The sequence below is a fragment of the Homo sapiens genome, chromosome 19 (assembly GCF_000001405.40).
Source record: "Homo sapiens chromosome 19, GRCh38.p14 Primary Assembly".
Classification (NCBI taxonomy): domain Eukaryota; kingdom Metazoa; phylum Chordata; class Mammalia; order Primates; family Hominidae; genus Homo; species Homo sapiens.
The window spans coordinates 31301793-31321311 of record NC_000019.10 but is presented as its reverse complement, the minus strand read 5'-3'; the positions used below and the strand labels follow the sequence as shown (position 1 = coordinate 31321311).

The window sequence follows — 19519 nt, the reverse complement described above, 5'->3', positions numbered from 1 at the left end:
CAGCCCTGCCTGTCTCCCATGTCAGCCTTAAGTGAGAGCCATGGCCTTCTCAGCACTGTCATTACCCACCTCCACCTTGGAATGATTGATTCATCAGGTTCAGAGGATGAACTTAGACATTAAGGAGCTGGCCAGGCCTTGGTGGAAAGGGATGCTGGAAAAAAAATTATAAAGCACTGTATTTTGCTTGCATGGTATCACTGCCATCCTTCAACAGGACACAGTTTTACATTCTTTATGTATTGCAAAGTGGGAGACAATGTATTGACAGTTGCCAAGCTATGATTTTAAAAATGTGAAGCAGATCTTCTGTGGACGATGGATCTTGAGGCTCTGGGCCGGATGACCTGTCCTGACACCTGCTAACATCTCAGCAGGACCCGTAGGGAAGGGAATTCTGCCTCCTTCTCCTTCAGTCATCTCAGAATTGAACACTGCGCAGGACTCAGTGACATCCTGCAACCAGAGATACAGATATTCTCCCAGGAACACCCAGACCTACAGCTGAAGCCAGGATGTCTTAGTGGAAGGGACCAAGAGCCAAGGAGACTTCAGCCTCCTGGTTACTTCCTCCCTGCAGCCTGGGTGCACTGCAGACTCAGGCGCAGTGGCCATTAGTGCTGTCTCTTGGACCCGCACCTGACCGTGTCTTAACTACAACAACCTTCAAAGGCTTAGGTCCAGGGAGAGGTCAGTTACTCAGATCATCCTGAACATGTCCCTTCTCCCGAGAAGGACACATCATAAAACATGTGGCCCCCAACCCGAGGACAACTGCAGTTATCATCCCTCGCAGGTGGGCCCAGAGCACAGAACACACCTGTCACTCCAGGTGTCACGTCTCAGAAAGACATTTTCTTTAAGGTTAAATAAATAACATTCACACAATGGAATATTTTAGAGCAGTAAAAATGAAGGAACGGCAGCCACGGGCAACAGCAGGGATGGATCTTAGTGATATTATATGGGTAGATAAAGCAAGTCAAAAAGGACTACGTCCAGGATCCGTCTTTTCTACAAAGCACAGAAGCAAACACGAGCCTAGTATTGCTTGGGGGTCACGCATTCATGTCCAGGGTCATATTTACCCACCGCCTGCCTGAGCGGTGGAGAAGCCCCGTGGTCATGTTGTCATTCTCAAGTTGGGTCCTTGTTCACAGGCATTTGTTTGGTTATTATACTTAAGAACCTACATGTATATTTCATCTGTTTCTGTATAGATCAGATGTAACCCGAGAAAATGTTTCAGGGTGTGAGCTCCCTAATACGTCAGGTCATCTGCAGCTCTAAGCTCTGGTTTTTGAGCCAGGCTGTAGCGGTTACGTCCTAGTTTAGGATGATTTGGCAAGAAACTCTCCATCACTTCTATCAACTGCGTGTGTGTTGGAAAGAATTAGGAAGGAAGGGCCGATTGCTACTTTCTCAGGGGGGCTGCATCTTAAGAGTCCATATATGTCATTCAGCTAATGAAGCCTGCCTTCCTGCCCCTAGTAGCAGCCTTTTTTTTTCAAAGCAGCTTAAGTAGAAAGAAAACTTGTTTCAGTGATGTTTGTGCTTTTGAGGGCGACAAAAGGTGTTACACTGTTGTTTTCTTTGTGATTACCGTTGTCATGGTGGTTATTTGTCCCTCTTCAGTGTTCTAGTAGAAACTTTCTGCCTGGTGATGCTTTGAGGGGCTATGAGCTCATGGTGGGTGAGCCCGGGTTTCCTCAGGGCCTGCCTCTCAGTCCTGCAGAGACATCAGTCTCCCTCAGTGGTGGGCTGGGGCTCAGGGGAGAAGCCCAGGTTGTGGCTGGGTTTTGCTGTGCAGACCTGGATATGCTCACCTTAGGGTTTCAGCCATTTTCACTTCTTCAGTGTGGCTTAATTGTTTGTGTCTCACCAAGTGATCTTCATATATATGAGTAGCTTTTTTTAAAAAAAATTACTGATGAAACCTTTACAATGTTTATTGGAAACAATGATTTATGTGCAAAATTCTTAAAGAAGGAAAACCTACTTTTCTCTATTTTGTAATAGAAGGCTTTTGTGTTGACAACGTTCTTCTTTTTATCTGCAGCTGAGCCAGCCGTCTTGGCAGGTGCTATTCATAGCCTGCTTGTTTCTGCAGTGTTGCTAAGTTGTGAGGTGGGGATCCACACTTTCCTTAAGTCCTGTTGTTTTTCTCTATAGGGGAATGAACTAGGTGGCTTTTAACAGGAGACAGTTTTGACGCCTGCTTTTTATATTCAGATGTACTCACCCAGGAAAAGCAACTTCTCAGGTCCCTGGTCTCCGGCTCAGAGGATCCTTGATCAGACAGAGCTGAGATTAATGAGCTGCTTTTAGCCATGGCACCAGGGTGGTAGGATTGTCTGGGCCATGGGAGGAGCCCATGAGGAGGCACCAGAGCTGCTATAAAGCCCTGCTCTTGGGACTAGGTGTTTGCCACAGTATTGGTGACCGGATCGTTTGTTCCTGATAATGGAAATCTCATCATTTAGAGATGGCAAGTTAAGATACTTTTATTGAATGAACTTCCTGCGAAGTTTCTGAGCCATAGTTGGGCTTATGACATAATTGCTATACATGTTGATACCATCTTTTATCATAATTGTTTTTCATTGTTTTTAATAAAAGGATAAAAATAATAGGAGACATTTTAGAAAGTGGTTTTTTTTGTTCTTTTATTCATGATACTAAAAATTACCCAAAATAAGATATTTTACAAAAAAAGGATTTTGTTCCAGAAGTGACTAATTTAAATCAGTTTATACAATGAACTTGCTAATGATCCTCAGTCTAGAGAAGTGTAATGCTTTTATACTGTTATCATTTTTTATGAATAGAATTATACAAAAAAGTTCCTATTGTGTTGTACAGTGAGTTTCACACAACCATCCTTTATCAACAGATGGCAACCAGCACATGAAAAATAATTAAAAAATAAAATGAAAAGAAACCGAGAATGAATTAAAGTGCTTCTTTGCGTTCCGATCTGCATTTTTGGTTTAGAATTTTTATGGTGAATTGCCATATTATCTGTTATATCAGTTTACAATGAGGCTCCTATCAGACATAAAACAGATTTATAATACCATTAAAATACAATATCAAAGAATGAATAAGCAATTCAATAAAATTACAATAACACAAAGATAAAATGAAAGCCTTTTCAATAACAGTTTTATGCAAGAACATTTTGCAGATAAATATGTGTTTATAGATCTTTTAAATGTATATTTATTATACTGTTCCTAATAGAGCCACAGGGGTTAATTTTTCCTGTGTGTTGTCTTTTATAAGTGGTTTAAAAGCTAGCTGCAAAACTCTTCAATAGATTGTTTTGAATCTTTGAATTGATTTTGGTAAAGGGAGCTTTTACAGTCCTGCAGCCGAATGTTCACACACAAATGAGTCAATACGGCTGGGCCCTTTTACCAGGGGTGGGAGGTGCCTGGAGGAGCTCCGTGGTCACCTGGGACCCAGGCGTGAAAGAGATGCAGAGGGAAAAGTTTATAAATGAAGTTTGATTCTGTATGCTTTCCACCCCGGATGTCCGGGTCAGATTTCCGGAAGGAAAGTTAATGAAAGCCAAGCATGATGACAAGCCGCCCCTTCTTGGGAGCAGCGGGGCAGGCGTTTGGGACAGCTGCAGCCAGTCTGGGGATGCGCCCTGCTCTCCAGACCCTGCTGTTCTCCTCACACCTGGCTTGGTGCACCTTAATTACACAGCCTGTTTCCTTCCTTTGTCTTGAGTCTGAGCAGGGAGTTCCTTAGGCCTTCTGTGATCCTTGCTGTGCTTGGCCAGTAGGGTCAGTGTGGCAGTAAATTTGGGGTGAGGACATAAGGACCAGGAGACATCACAGGGAGCTTCTGAATCCCTGGCAGGTCCTGGGTTGTATGGTGCAGCCAGGGTCCCCCAGCTCTTTGCATCTTGCCCCATCAAGAGCCTGCACTGTTCAGCATCCCCATCGTCCCGATGTGGCTGCAGTGGGTCACACCCTGGCCCTGGCATGGCTCGGCTGGAACAGCTGCCCAGAGATGGCTGGGGCATTAAACTACAGCATATCAGCGTTTTAATGCTTCCCTCCTAGGCAGCTGTGGCTCTGGCTGGGGCTGGGGCTGGGGGCATGCCCAGAGAGCTGGAGGGGAGGGAGGCTGGTAAAAAGAAAAACCCGTTGGATTTTGTTGACGGATGAAAAAAATCCTGGAGAAGAGAATTTTGTCCCTGGAAAAAAGTCTCCTGCGACTAAATTTCAACTCCCGTGGTCCTTTCTTTGTTGTAATTCCTCTGCAAATCATTGGCATCATCTTCTTCAAATTGATAGAAGGTGCCAGGCCCTTATAGATTGCTTAATATACTGTAGGTAATATGGGTTGCAGTAGAAAATAAAAGCAAGCAGAGAATATTTGGCCGGAGCATATGTGACTCAAATAATTGAGAAATAAAACGGGAAAACGACTAGAAAGACTGTTCAGTGACACAGCGTACAGTGAGCTGAGGTGGGGCGGGGGTTGGCTTCTGTCTCTCTCTGCCTGTTTCTCCTTCTCTCTCTCTCTCCCCATTCTTTCCCTCTCTGCTTTTCCCACTTTTCCATGAGGTGGAAAGCAGACACTTGAACATTTCCTTCCCTAACAGCCCCTCCTCTCCCCCATGAAAATTTAGAATTTTGCTTTTTTACTTTCTTATTTCCTCTCTGTTCCAGAAAATTTTAGTACACGACACAGCGGCTGCCGCAAATAGCACTATTTCCCCAGCCCAGGCTGTTTGATTGCAAGAGGCTTGATTGCATCATTAGTCCTGAAGTGCTGTGCTCACTGAAACACGCCAGCATCTTGGACATTAAAGTGGCATCCTGTTGTGTATGAGGAGAGGCCTCGTACACACCACTTCATCTTGCAAACCTGCCTTTTCCCCAGAGTCTCCGAGCAGCATTAGGTAAACAATTACAGGAGATGACTTTAGAGGTGCCGTCTTCCCCTTTAATTCATGCATACAAGCATTCCAGTGTTACTGCTGCAGAAAACACAATGGAGTTCTCACAAACAGGCTTTGGGAGATTTAGGCAGATTTCCCCCTGGAAAATGGGAAAGGCATTTTAAGTAGCAGGGAACTCCTGCCTCCCTCCCTGAAAACAAAGCTGCTGGTGTTGGTGCTGCTTTCATCACTGAAGACTTTGAGATCCTCCTGCATTTTGGACTCTCTTAGGGGCGTCAGACTTCTTCTATCTGTTTTAATATTTATTTCCTTCTCCTTACACACCCACCCGAAGTGCAAGTCTAGTTTTATATAGCAGTAATTATTACACCTTGCCACTCTCTCCCAAGTTGCTACTTGATTAGTGCTGAATGGGTAAAAGTGACTAAACCCTTCTCTGTGGGAAAAAAAAATGGTCGATGTCTCTTTAAAGTCTTTGTCCGGCTGGTTATTTTTTATATGAGCTCAGCTCACATCACTTTTTATTAGCTTAATAAATCACCTTTCTTGTCAATCAAGCAGCAGAGAATAATTGGATATGGTTGAAGCCTTGCGTGATGGATTATAAATCATTCAAGATTAAATTAAAAGATAATGCACAAACTTAATGGTTTGTGTTTTGCAGTCTAAATTGCCTCGGAGCACTGCTGTTTTCAGCTTTATTGCCAGCCGTTTTTCTTTTCACAAAACCTTTCTGATTTTAGCCCCTTTTTATTTCTGTTTATCATAATTCCAATTGTATTTCTCATATTTACCTTTTAGTGCTTTGCCCATCCAAGCTGGGTGGCGAGTGAGGGAAGTCTAGGGCGCACACACCCAGCTCCCTGGCAGAGGGCAGGAGGGGCCCCACTGCTGCGGCCTGGCCTGGCTCTGATATGATGTGTCCTGCCACCTGGCAGTATCCAGCACCCCGCCCCCAGGAGTAGAGCTTCCTGAGTACCCCCAGCCAAGCTCCACCCTTTGGAGGAGAAATGGACTTATCAGTCCCAAGTGATGAACAGACCGGGGACGCTTTGGGACAGGGCGGGGCTGGGGGAATCTCCTCTATAAGAGGTCAATACTGTCAGTAAATTGGATGGCTGATGTGAGCCTCGAAGGAGAAGGGGAAAGAGAAAAGAAAAAGAAACAAAAAATAAATATCATGAAAGGAAAGTTGGATTGGTCATATTCCAAATAATGCGCCTTTCAGCATCTGTTCCAGGTAGCTCATACATTTCTGCTGGCCGCTCGGGGAGAGCATAGGTGATAGACATCTCTTGGCAGAGTTGCTTTCTTCCCTTGATCTGTGCCCAGGACAGAAGTGTCCAGTGCAGCAACCCCTGGTGGCAGGATTCCCTGCTTGGGATTACATCCCATGCTCTCTATCTGTCCAGCACGCATCTGTAGAGTTTAGAAGAAACACACAGAGGGATATAGGACCCGTCGTCCTTTCTCATAGAGGTAAGCACCTCCAGTGTCTCAGGAGCCTGGCTTCTCCCAGGGGCCATGAGCTGAGCCTTCCCCTGGAGCTGTGCCCCCAAATTCCTTCCCCTTCTTTTTATTTCACTGCCTGCTCTTCCAGACAGCCCCGGAGGTGGACACTCAAGGGGTCTGAGAATGACGGTGATTACAGAGCAAGGTTCATCCAAACGGTTAATTTCTCCCATTCTGGCTACAAAGTTAATTAATGTAATCTAACGCATCTTGAGGCAAAATTATGCACTCACATATGAATAAAACCCTGATCTATTGCAAAATACGAATCTGGCACTCGGAACAATTCACAATCACTCAAATTACAAGTTATGCACAAGAATGTAGTATCACAAGGGGATGTGAAATCCTGTCATTAGAAATGATTCACAATGCATCAGAAACCCGGCCCTGAGAAGGTTGGGCAGAAGGAGGTGAGCAGCCAGATAGCTGGGATGGACTTGTGCAGAAGCAGGGGTGCAGGCAGAGCCCCACCGTGCAGGTGAGACACGGTTCCGGCCGCTGCCCATGTGGCTTCTCAGGATTGCAGTGATGGCCGACCATGCCTCCCTGCCGCCCGCTCTCTCTCCCATGGCTCTGGAAACACCCTTGCCTGCATGTAGCAGTGCTTGGCAAAGGAGGCTGGCATGGCTGGGGCCTGGCCTCAGCATCTCTCGTGCAGACTGTAGGGAAAGAAGGCCTCTAGTCCTGGCCTTAGAAGCCGGAAGGAGGCATCCTTTCTGGTTGTCTAGGGGACAAGGGAGGCAACCCTGTGTCATCATGTCATCATCATCCACCAAGCATCTTCCAATTGCATCCGGTGAGCCCAACAGCCACTCGAGAGGCAGGCACGAGGGGGTCTGACCTGCCTTTCCCAAATGTGGACCTGGGAAGCAGGCAGAGAGAAAGGCTCACCGTCATTACCCGAGATGAAGGTATTACCTGATTTACAAGTGAAATTCTGTGGCGCAAAGACTTCCAATTGTGTGCTGCAGGTTGCAGCCTGGTAAGTGAGTGTCGGTGCCAGGATGCAGGTACCCGGACTCTCAGTGCCATACCCTTCTCGATAATACCCCACTTCTGGTAGTGCATGGCTATGAAAGGCTTGGCTCCGATGGGGCCTTTCTAGGGCAAGGAGCAGGGATCCTTCAAGTCCCAGGATCCTTCTCGTTTGCTGAATGGCTACGGCCATGCATTTCGTTGTTCAGGGGACTCTCACCAATCTGTCCAAACTCAGGGTGAATTCACATGTCACATGTCGCTGCCTGTTTCCTGGGTGTCTGGGAGAGGTGGATGGGCCTCACCCTCACAGAGGCACTGGCATATGTGTGGGGACAGGAACCATTTCCGCAGCCCAACAGGCAGGTGGTACGCAGTGCCAGGAGCGTGGCCACCCTAGTCCCTGCCAGGTGCCCACATCCGCACGTGGCAGGCATGTAGCTCAGACTCCTCGCTGCCCTCCAGCGGTGCACACTTGGCTTCCAGCTCCCGGTCAGCAGCCAGGCATGGGGGCCATCGTTCAAAGGTGGAGCATCCTGTCTGTGATTGATAATGGCTCACTGCAAATTTTACATTTTTATTAGCATATTTATGAACATTGAGGTTTAATAACCACTACCTCCTCCAACTGGACATTCAGAGGTTTTAATAGAAACCTGACAAATTCCCTTCCAAATCTCGGGTGTGGAAATGCTAACAGCAAACGCTGGTAGCAGAGCAAAGCCCTCACCTGGGGCTTCCCGCAGAGTCTCCTCTGGAAGCCTCTGTGACTGTTCCTTGCCCCCAAGCAGGTTTGGCATCCTGAGTCCCAAACCTGTCATGCTGTTTGACGTTTCTGCATACCACATGCACTGCCTGAACTTACTGTTTACACACGTTTTAACTCAAATAAATTTATTTTTAAAAGGAAAGTGTGTCACTCCTATAAATGAAGACCCAGAATCACTTGCCATAAAGGGAAAATAACCATAAAAATAAACGCCGTGAAATCAAACAATGTCATTAAATCCTAGCTGAATTCTCTTGCCTTCCTACCGGAGTCTAATGCCTTATCTCTCTTCTTTAAAAAGGGGGATTAGCAAGTGTTGGGGAGGTGTTAAAGACCAATAGCACCCACCGGATACTTTCTCCTTGAAGCAATCAGAGGGAAAAAGATGGAACTGACAAGGGAGTAATTTATTACCGTGTGATTCAAGATGAACCACCTCATATTTTCTTGTACCACCGGTGGAACTCCTCCCACACTCTGAAAGATTCTGGATTTCAGCGAACACTGACTTCGATTAACTTCCCAAAGGGGCCCTGAAAGCCCCAAAAGGGTTAATAACTGTTTCTGTAGGAAAGTGTCTTTTCTAAAGAGGAAGAGAGAGGACATTAGGAAGCCAAGGGGTTCAGGAAGCAACAGGAGAAGTCCCCTCCAGCCAGCAATGGAGTGTCCTGCTCTGATGGGAATTTGCTGCCCTGAGCTGTCCGATAGGACTACCCCATCGGAAGTGTGATGAGTGCAATGGAGGATCTGAACTTTACATTTTGTTTAATTTTAATTAACTTAAACATATATAGCCCCATGGACAACACAGTCATTAGCCCCATGGACAGCATAGCTCTAGATCCTTCTTTTGTGGTTCTGTGCTTATTTCTCTGACCTAAGCCAGCATCTGCTGATTCATAGTTTCCAGCCGTGGGAGGGAAGATGGGCCTCTTCTCAGCAGTGGTGTGCACAGCACAGAGCAGCCTGCAAAACACTCTTTTTGTCCAGTGCTCCTCTCCTAGCAACCCTGGGAAACATTGGTGTCACCATGCCTGTTTTACAGATGGGGAAACTGAGACTCAAAGGCCATGACATGGAGAAGCCAGGATTTAAAGAGGAGTGGCTTGGCCGGGTGCAGTGGCTCACACCTGTAATCCGAGCACTTTGGGAGGTTGAGGCGGGCGGATCACTGGAGGTCAGGAGTTCGAGACCAGCCTGACCAATATGGTGAAACCCCATCTCTACTAAAAATACAAAAATTTGCCAGGCGTGGTGGCGCACACCTGCAGTCCCAGCTACTCAGGAGGCTGAGACAGGAGAGTCCCTTGAACCCGGGAGGTGGAGGCTGCAGTGAGCTGAGATAGTGCCACTGCACTCCAGCCTGGGCAACAGAGAGAGACTCTCTCAAAAATAAACAAACAAATAAAGAGGGGTGGCTCTGCTCAAAGATCTCTCACCCTAACAGTGAATGGACCCTAAACGGGATTCTCATCTTCCAGTCCTCATGTTCCACCCATGCCCCCTGAGCATTGATCAGTATGGAGCCCGTGAGCTGGGCAGAGGGGCAAGTTCCCTTCACAGTGCAGCACCTTCTGTCCTCTGCTTCATCTCTGCATGTACTGGAGGACTCCGTAGGACCAAGACGTCTCCTTCCCATAAGGAACAAACCCTGTGCAGTCGGAGGCCACAGGCGAGACTCACCCCAAGAAGGTCCTGTGACAGGAGGCAGGCCAGAGCTCAGCAGCACATTGGCACCTATTTTGTTTCTCTCTTTCCCAGCTTCTCCTGCCTCCCCAGACACGAATGCTCTTGATCTGTCCTAGGATTTGTTGGGGGTGAGTGGGCTATAGGGGAAGTGCTGATGAATAAATCCACAACCAAAGTGTTAGGTGGATTAATAACCCCCTTCAGCCTTCAGACCCCTCCATCCCAACTTGCTTGAAGTTTATCTGCTTTTTATAAGAGTATCTAAAACAGGGCAGTGCTTAGCCCAGAGTCTGTCTGACTTGCTACTGGTGAAACCCTTGGCCTGAGACGGAGAGAGAATTTTGGGTGGCTGAAAGCCTTTTGGCTGCCACCTTACCAGGTGGCACCACCTCCCTTCCTGGTCTCAAGAGGCTGAGCTGATGGCACAGGCAGGAGTTTCCTGGACATTGCATGATCCTTCCAGCTGCAAGGGTGGGGCCCAGTGAGGGGCTGAAATGTCGCCCTAGAGATCCTGGCCTTGTCACTGCAGGAATCTTCCTTGCTGATGGAAAATTCTAATTTCTGTAACCCCAAAATAACTGTTCTTTACTGAATGCTTGCCACATGCCAGGCATGGTGCTAAGTGCTTTATGTGCATAATTCCATTAACAACAATTCTTAAAAGAGAGGACTTTCATTCTCATTTTAAAGGGAAGAACCAGAAACGTAGAGAGGTTTTGTAGCTTGCTCAAGTCCTGCTGTGGCTCAGGACAGAACAGAAGATGGACCTAGGCCTGTGAGGTCCTAGTGTCCTTTCACATTGTGACTTATGCATCACACAGAGCCCGCACTCTGCCCACCCCTTTCCCTGCATTCATTCTGAATTCTGTGCCTGAAGGAGGAATGTGGCCTCCAGCTTGTCATAGATTGGTGGAACTGCATCTCCTTTAAGAAGGTGGAAGGGATTCTCTCCTGAGCAGTGGGTCCCTGAGTTCATCCATTCATCCATGCAGCAGATACTTGCAGACCACCCTGGACACCAGTGCACAGGATCGGTGCTGCACCAAAAAGAAAAGGAAATGCATGTGGAATGGCCCCCAAACCCTCACATCTTCCTAGGAAGATGAAGGAAGACTGTGGTTTTTCTCCTCTAATCTGCCCCACACTCTTTGCTTTGGGTCACTCGACTCTTCATCTTCACTTCTGGTCCATTGAGAGGCAGCTTGGAGGAAAGAGGCTCATTACCTGGGACCAGAGTAGGGAAGAGACATGAGAAGGTTGAGACACCGAGTGGAGGCTTAGCAGATGGGGCAACATGACAACATAATGAATGGGCCCCACAGTTCCAGGGATGGGAAGGAGATGTCGCTCAAACTCAAGGAAGGAAAACATACTTGCATGCATTTTCCCATCATCACAAATTCCTCCGAGGGCACCAGGCTACTGGAGTATGTGTTGAAACAATTTGAGCAGATGTTTATTAAGCACCTGCTCAAGCCAGTGCTGGCAGGTGCCAGGGACACCAAGACAGGCAGTCCTCAAGGGGGTTGGAGTGTGGAGGATGAGACTCAGATGCACGTAATTCTGACGTGGGTACCATGATGGAAATGACCGTGAGCAGGATGGGAACATGGAGAGGGATGCCGTGGCCATCCCAGGGGGTGAAAGAAAGCTGGCGACAGCTTCCTGAAAGTGGAGATGCCCCAGCTGAGTCTTCAGGGAATAATATTCCTGCAACAGTCTTAGGAGCCGTCATTCCTCTTTGCGCCACATTATTTAATGCTTTGCAAGTTTGGATGACTAAAGTACCATGCTTTATCCGCACGTTTCATTTACCTACCTTGGTTTCTTAGTTCGGGGCCTGTTTCCAGGCCTTTCTTGACCCCTGTGCTAATCTGGAATATTTGTTCTTGCTGACTTGATGGTTCCCAATGCCGAGAATGTGTTCTTCCTCAAATGAGTGTCATATGTTATACTGAGAGAGCCTCAATGCTGATGTCTCCATTCCATGCGGGGATTGACTTGCCCTGGCTTGGGTTCCTGCGCCTGTAGAGTATTTTGTCCTTTTTTTTTTGCAGAAGATATGGCTCCACCCATCTACGCCTGCTAGAGGCCATGTTCCTCCTTCAGGCAAGGAATTCCGAATCTACTCCCTCTCTCTCTTTCATCCTTCTGTCCTTTTACCACCTACCCTCTTACATCACGCACCCTGGTGGGTTAGCCCATATCCTGTGGGTAAATGGCAGCACTGAGAGACCATAGGGACCCCCAAGTCCTGAACCCAGGGCCCCGTACAAAGCGATGCCTTCCGGCATTGTGTCTGCAAGGGGTGGCGGGCAACACCACGGTGTGCATCTTCACACCAAGCAAAGCTCAAGGCAGCCCATGTTGCAGAGGCAGCTGGGCATTGTAGGCAGGCCCTGGGGGCCAACAGCACGGTGGTCACTGGCTCACAGAAGACTGAGCTCCTGGGCCGGCCTTGGGGAGGACGGCAGGCTGGTGGCCTGTCATGGCGAGTGGGCCCCACCAAAAAGTTAGGCGGCGTGGAATCTGGTCTCAGCTCTGTTATGAACGCCTCGTGGTGCCTCTGGTCAGTCCTTTCCTCTGTTTGGGGCCTCATTTTCTCTCATTTCAAATGAAGCCCATCTGTAGGAGTCACTTCCTTATCTCTAGGATGATCTGAATCTGAGCAGACACAGCCAGGATTTCAGCAGGGGTCTTAGACGGTGTGTCCCTGTTTTTCTCTCTTTCCAGACAAGAGCATCAATTGGGTGGAGGTTCTCAGCACGTGGTGGGTGGAGAACGTGCTGCCCTAGTCTCTTCACACTACCCCTGTGTACCTGTGGAGCCTAAAACACCTGGGAAGGAAGCAAACCCCAGAGCTCCGAAACCTCCATTTCCAAAAAGGATCGAGAGCCAGTCTCCTAGAAATGGAGCCCTTAGTGGTGGTCCACGCTGGAGACGATGACAAACAATTGGACCCTTGTGTCCCCAAGCTGTGGGCTCCCTGGCGATGACACCGGAGCTGTCTCTATTTTGCCTGTCGGGGGAATGTTCCAGCGCATTTTCCCTTATTATGACTTGATTAAGGACACAATAAACCCTTGCCATGATTTTTATCTATTTGCAGTAATATCTCTCAGTTCTAATTTCAGAGATTAGCTTGTTTTCCAAACATTAAATGAAGGACAAACTTGATCCCATTGTTCATGCCTGGCGAGCACAGCCATAGCCACCACCTACCATTGACAAACACAAGCTGCTGGCCACACCTGCACGTCACTGCCATGGGAAGCAGCCCCGAGACTGTTGGAGTGGGAGGCAGAACATTAGGGATTTCAATTCTGCTTTATTTTCAACTTGAAATGGAGGAAAACAGACAAAAAACAAATAAGAAAGCTAAACAGTTGCGTGAGAGCTAGCAATTTGCTGGGCTCCCGATGACAGACACTGCATTATCATAATTGTCTCTTCTACATGATAGGACAGAAAAATAATAATGTCATTTTATTTATAGCTGGGGTGGCCCCTTTATGAGAGTCATACAAGTTTCTGCCAAGTGGAGTAGGTCAAATGACATCTTTTGATCAGGCCTGTCCAAAGAGATCAAAGATGAATGGCAGGTAATGGATACCCAATGACAAACCAAATCTAAAACAGAAATAAGGCTGCCAGAGCCTGCCAGTTACCCATTAAAGGCCCGCCTAAGGAAGGCAGGCTGCTTGACACATTGGCCGAACACCTAAATCAGCCAAGCGTCAGTGCTAAAATTGTGTATTATCATTGGAAATGGCTATTATTTCCTCGGTAACATTTCTGTTAAGGCTTTGTTTGTGTACGACTGACCCACAATCAGAAGTGGAGTTTGAGGAAAGCCAGCCCAAGAGGCTTGGGGGGCACCCTTGGCTTTGCCATTCATCACGCGGTTTTATTTGTGGGGTCCTAATGGAACACCAGCCCCGTGCCGCGTGCTGCTCAGGTGGAGGAGGTGGGGCTGTTTCCAGGTGAGAGGGTGGTTCGGGCCTCATGTCATCACTCCTGCATTTCTTGACACTCTCAGCTCCGCTCCATCTTCCCGTCTCCCCAGCCATATGCAGTTGGCCCCATCGTAGGCCACACAAAGCCCAGAACCTTCCCAGAACATGGGGAGGGGGAGCACTAAGCAGATGGAAAAAAAAAATGAAGGGGTACAATGGCACTCTTTCCTACCCAGGCTGAGAGAACAGGGCGGGCACTTGGCTTTTTACACAGCCAGTGCAGTCTGCACATATAGAAACGGGTAGAGGCAGCTTCCAAAATTATGGGAATAGATGCATTTTTTTTTCCTCAAGCACTTGAGTTATGTAATTAAGTTGGGCTTTGTAGAGATGTTATTTACAAGGCTTTGGTGGGGAACAAAATTTACTATCTTTTTTTTTTTGGCTTCTAATTTGTGGGGGTGGAATGAGGTGGAATACAAAGAAATAGTCAAAGAAATATTTAGAAAGGAGGACTCCAAGTCTGCAGGAGAGAACTCTAAATCTTCATGTCCCAGGGGACGCACAGGTGGTGCTGTGGTAATTTTTAATTCTGCGGCGTATGCTGGAATGTTAAAAAATATTATTAAACATTGAAATGAGTATACTAGCTAACTAATTAGTATGTTTCTCTTTCTTTTAATAATCCTGATTCATTTTCTTTCTTCCTACCTCCATTTTTATACACGTGTAACCCTAAAGAACATATTTAGAAGCATAATTAGTTATAATTAGAAGCAAACAAACCTAGCCCAGGGTATCTCCAGTGTATTATGTTATAAAAAATGGCAGGTAATGGTGGCAATGGCAGAGACCCAGGTTCTGTGCTGCCTGGTAGGAATTCTGGTTTTACACACACACATACACACACACGCATACATACGCACACACGCCCATGCATGAGTGCACATGCGCACCCACGCACGTGCACGTGTGCCCTCTCAAGATAAAAGAGCCAATGATGGAAGCCGCCTTTGCTTGGCTCTTAAAAGTTTTACAGACCTCACGTTTTGCGATCACTTTGCATTAACTGTATCTTTAAGTAACGGAGACACTATGTCAAAGTCGTAGCATCACTTCTTGGTGATGAGAAGAAGATAGACATTTGACTGTTAGGCCTCTTGGCAGGAAATTTGGTAGTGAAGTCCCATCCAATTTGTCACACTCAGTAGTGGTCCTCGCTCCGAAGGAAGCTCGCAGCCCAGCCCGCCGCGTCACCTGTCTGGGAGAGGCCCCGCAACTCCATCTGAAGTGACAGGCTGCATATGCAAGGCCACCCCGGGAATGAGCGCACACGGTGGGTGTGCCGTCGTCTCGTGGGGAGGGCACACCTGTGCGTCACTCCCCGCCTGGCACTCAACTTTGACATTTGACCATTCCAAAAAAGCGCCTACCCCCTTTTTGTGGCTCCCACCCCAAACTTCTATGTAAATGAAAGTTTAAACAAATCTGTGATCATGCTGGCTTTCAAGTGAAATTTTTTTTTAATTTCTCTTGAATTATGTAAAGATGCATCACAAGATATTTACGATTTTTTTTAAAAACAGATATTCTTTTTATATACTGATAAAATTGGAAACTTGGAAGCATATTTGGCAAGTGTAAACAGATGGTTAAAGATATTTGCTGGGAAGTATCAGAAACAGTTATTCCTGACTTGCCTGCTTGGCTAAACATTGCTCTGAAAAGTCAACTCACAGGGCACCAGGCAGGAGATGCGGGTCCCATTTTGCTCTAAACAGAGTGGGCAGGGGCGCTGTTTTCCTCTCTTTATCACCATGCTCTAGGTAAAGCCTGCCTGTGGAACTTGTGCCCTCTTCTCTTTCTATCCACAAACTCCATAAGGGGTTCTTTAGCAACTAAGCAAGAAGGCTTCTCTGTTGTCTCCTTAATTAAGGATGCCTGCTGCAGGGATCTCACTCAGAGGGAGCCGGGCACCTTTTACCTTTCTCCATCTAAGGTATGAAATTAGTGCTTTTCCTTTGCTCTGGGGAACTGATCATTTTATTCAGAAGAGGTCCATGCTAGGAGGTTTCCTGTCCCTTCAAAGGCAATGGATGTAAAGTTGCATAAAGGAAATTACTGGGAAGAAAGAAAGAAGAAACTGACACGCGGCTTTTTTTTTTTTTCCTTTCCAGACAGCAGAATTCACCACACACATTTCAAATAACGAAATCAACAGTTCAGAGGTGATTTAACAGAAAGCACAGAATTTCATGAAATTGCCTAATAGTCAGATTTGTGGTGTGTGTGTGGAGGGGGTGGCAGGAGAGGGGGTGGCTGGAGATGGGGATGTGGAAAGAGGAAGCTGCCGTATTTTTTTACAAGCTTATAAAACACAAATGCTCGTGGCACTTGCTAATCTGAAATGCTTTTAGTAGAATTGTTCAGTAGCAATAATCTGTCAACAGATTACAATTTTGCTTAATTTTAATGTGGCTAACTTAAGATGGTTGTATAGTAAATTTATGCAACTGATCACAGTTATTAAATTACTGCGTCTGCAAAGGAAGCAATCAAACCCCTTATTACAGTTGCTGTGAGTGAATGCTAAATGTCAAGGAGTTACCAGTGCGCTGCGGGGAATCGCGCTCCAGTTAAAGATGCATAAAATATCAGCACTTTTTTAATGCTTGTGCATTCAACAAAGACTCCCATCATAATTAACTGGTATGGAAATAAATAATTTTTACAAACTACCTTAGAAACAGTTGTGCTATAGTTTTTGTCAAAGTCTACTGCTCTGCAGCAATATTTAAGCCCTCAGACACTTTTCCCTCTAACTCACATATGCTATAAAATATTTAAATCTCACAGAGAGGTTTGGAAATGATACTATAAATCCAACTCTCGGTGCTAAAAAGTAATTTATGATGATTAATTTAATTATACATTTTCAGGTTTTGATATTTTAAAAACTCAAGATTAATTTTTTGTTGTTGTTGTTGTTATGGTCCCAGTTTGACAGTTTGGGGAAGGGAGATTCTTTTTCTAAACAGCTGAAGATGCAGAGGGAGAGGCAGGGCCCCCAGAAAGGTGGAGAGGAAGAGTTATGGGTGTGGGGGCCACAGGCATACAGTGAGGCCTCAGTCCTGGCCCTGCTTGCCCAGTCCCCTTGAGCAAGTTTCTGAGAGTCCTCAACTGTGAAAGGCAAATTGTAAGAGTGAGCACTTCGGACTGGGCGCCGTGACTCAAGCCTGTAATCCCAACACTTTGGGAGGCCGAGGCAGGCAGATCACGAGGTCAGAAGTTCGAGACCAGCTTGACCAACATGGTGAAACCCCGTCTCTACTAAAAATACAAAAATTAGCTGGGCGTGGTGGTGCGCGCCTGTAATCCCAGCTACTCAGGAGGCTGAGGCAAAACAATCACTTGAACCCGGGAGGCGGAGGTTGCAGTGAGCCAAGATGGCACTATTGCACTCCAGGCTGGATGACAGAGCAAGACTCCATCTCAAAAAAAAAAAATGAAAATAAAAAAAAGAGTGAGGACTTCATGAAGTCCTTGTGGAGGGTGTGTGGGTTAGTGCTGGGAAGGCCCTGGAATAGCACTTGGCCCTAGTCAGGATCCATGTCACCAAATGGTAGCTAGCATTTATTTTGAATAAAATAAAATCTTTGCAAAAAAATCCGTCTTTCTGAGACCCATGTGCTTCTGCTGGCACCAGCCGATGGCTCATCCCATGACAGTGCAGCCAGCGGGTGCCATCTTTTTGCCAGTGCCCTTTGTCACTTGTGGGCTTTGGGGTTTTAGAAATCTGGCCTGTGAGGCCTTGACACCTTGCTGGGAAGAAATGCCAACAGAGGAGAGAGGAAGATGGGGCGGGGTCGGGGCATGAGAGCCTGTACCAGCACCCACCAGACTCCTGAGTGATTCTGTGCCTCATGCTTGAGTGATTCCGTCCACTCAGCCACCCCACCGAGATGGTCAGGTGCCAGATGGGCCCTGTGCAGGCCCCGTGCAGGTCAAGTGGTCCATGCCATCATGAGCTGAGCCCTCCACCTTGGTGACTGTGGGTGCCTATGTGGACCAAGTGCGTCTCCGGTGAGCCAGGTCTATGCCATCTCAGAGGCTGCCGTCTCTGTCCTGTGTTGCAGCACGACCAATGTCGCAGTGCAGACCCGGGCGTATTCCTTAGCGTAGTGGAGAAAGGTCCCTTTACAACACTCAGGCCTGCGGGTCAGCAGCTCCACCATCTTCAGTCTCTTCCCAGAGAGATGGGGGGCGATTTGCCGGAGTGAAGGCTTGGCTGTTAGGAATCTGATGTTGTCAACCCCACCCATTAGCCTGGGCCACCTTTGCCCAGTATATTCATTCATTTGGTGTAGCTTTGTTTGGAGTTGTTTGTTCAAACGTATTTGAAAGATGACTCTGTAGGGCTATCAGATTCATTCAGAGGTCCATTTGTGCATATGTGGATGGGCGTGTGTTTATGCATTTATGGATAAGCATAAGGATGTGTATATGTTTACACATACATGTACATGTAATCTAGATTAAAACTAAAGATGAACTCAAGCCACGTTGTTTACCTGTGACATCTTATTTCCACCAAGCAAGCAATGGGCCATGCTGAATCCACCCTAAATTTTGGCCTTATTGAGCTAGACCCTTTGGCTTCCAGATGCTCCTGTTTTGAACTGTGGTCTCCTCAGTATACATCTCACTTCCCATATGGAAGTGCAATTTGAGGATGAATGTGGCATCTTTGCATTATTTTTTAACCTACACACTCTGATAGGAAAAATGCATATATATGTGTGTGTTTATATATAGACATATCTATTTTTGTATGTGTGTAGTTTTTAAGTATTTTAAGGTAAAAGTAAAAGCACACTTATAAAGGTCAGTTGAGGAAATGTCTGTATGTTTGGAATGGCAAGAGACAGATTTTAGAAAACAAAACTTTCAGAATATAGAATTTCTTAAAAGAAATGCATTTTGCTTTAAATTTTCATGTAACTTACACAGATTTCTAAAATGACCACAAGTACTGGATTCCTTGGGCTGGCCACTTATGAACAGGTGTGAGTACTTTCTGATTTTGCATGTATGGTGCATTTCTTATTGAGTAGGTTGGAGATGATGTGGAGTCTTATGTCCCATTCACACACCGTGCTGTCTTTCTTCCTGGACATGGGCAGAGTCTGTGGCTCTATGTTTCCAGGGCACGGATCACAAGGGCGGAGGGTCAGCTCCGGGCCTCTGAGCCCTTGGGAAGTGTTGGCAGCAGCTCATGCACTGAGGGGTCACTCCTGTGCACCCTAGACCTGGAGAGGCCCTGTGAGTGGCAGTCTCAGATGGCTCAGCACCATGGCTCTCTCTTTTGCCACATTAAGGTGGTGCTGGGGCTTTACAAACTTTATGTAAGGGCCCCTTTGCCTGCGTTTCTGAGTGTAAGGAATGTCTTCAGGTGCTGACTGGGCTGGGATCTTGGAGGGCCAGCTCACAAGCATTAGAACTAAGATGTCCAGGGTGTGGAATGTAACAGGCGCCTAGGGACCTGAGTTCAAATGCCGGTTTTCCACTTCATCAGACGTGTATCTGGGACACAGTGTCTCCACCTGTGGACCTCATGGGGTGGGTATGAGGGGCCTTTGGTGTGCCTTACCAAAGGCAGCATAGGTAAAACGTACAGCAGAGTGCTCAAACATT

At 46.8% G+C, this 19519-nt stretch overlaps 1 protein-coding gene across 5 annotated transcripts in view, besides 1 other annotated feature; it reads left to right on the top strand.

The window, feature by feature from the left end:
* TSHZ3 (teashirt zinc finger homeobox 3) overlaps positions 1–19519 on the top strand; it is a 201002-nt gene that overhangs the window by 29566 nt on the left and 151917 nt on the right. Inside the window, exon 2 of one of the 5 annotated variants that reach the window (NR_138034.2) lies at positions 12603–12971. The exons of the other annotated variants lie outside the window; for them this stretch is intronic. The gene's annotated coding sequence lies outside the window, so the exon portion shown is untranslated. Of the gene's footprint in view, positions 1–12602; positions 12972–19519 lie in introns of those variants that run through there. 5 annotated transcript variants of the gene reach the window in all.
* Positions 1941–2442: an enhancer, noted in NCBI's record as "NANOG hESC enhancer chr19:31809776-31810277 (GRCh37/hg19 assembly coordinates)". NCBI's record gives its function as "activates a minimal SCP1, AML or CMV promoter by ChIP-STARR-seq in naive H9 embryonic stem cells {active_cell/tissue: H9 hESC(naive)}" and the evidence as "EXISTENCE:reporter gene assay evidence [ECO:0000049][PMID:30033119]".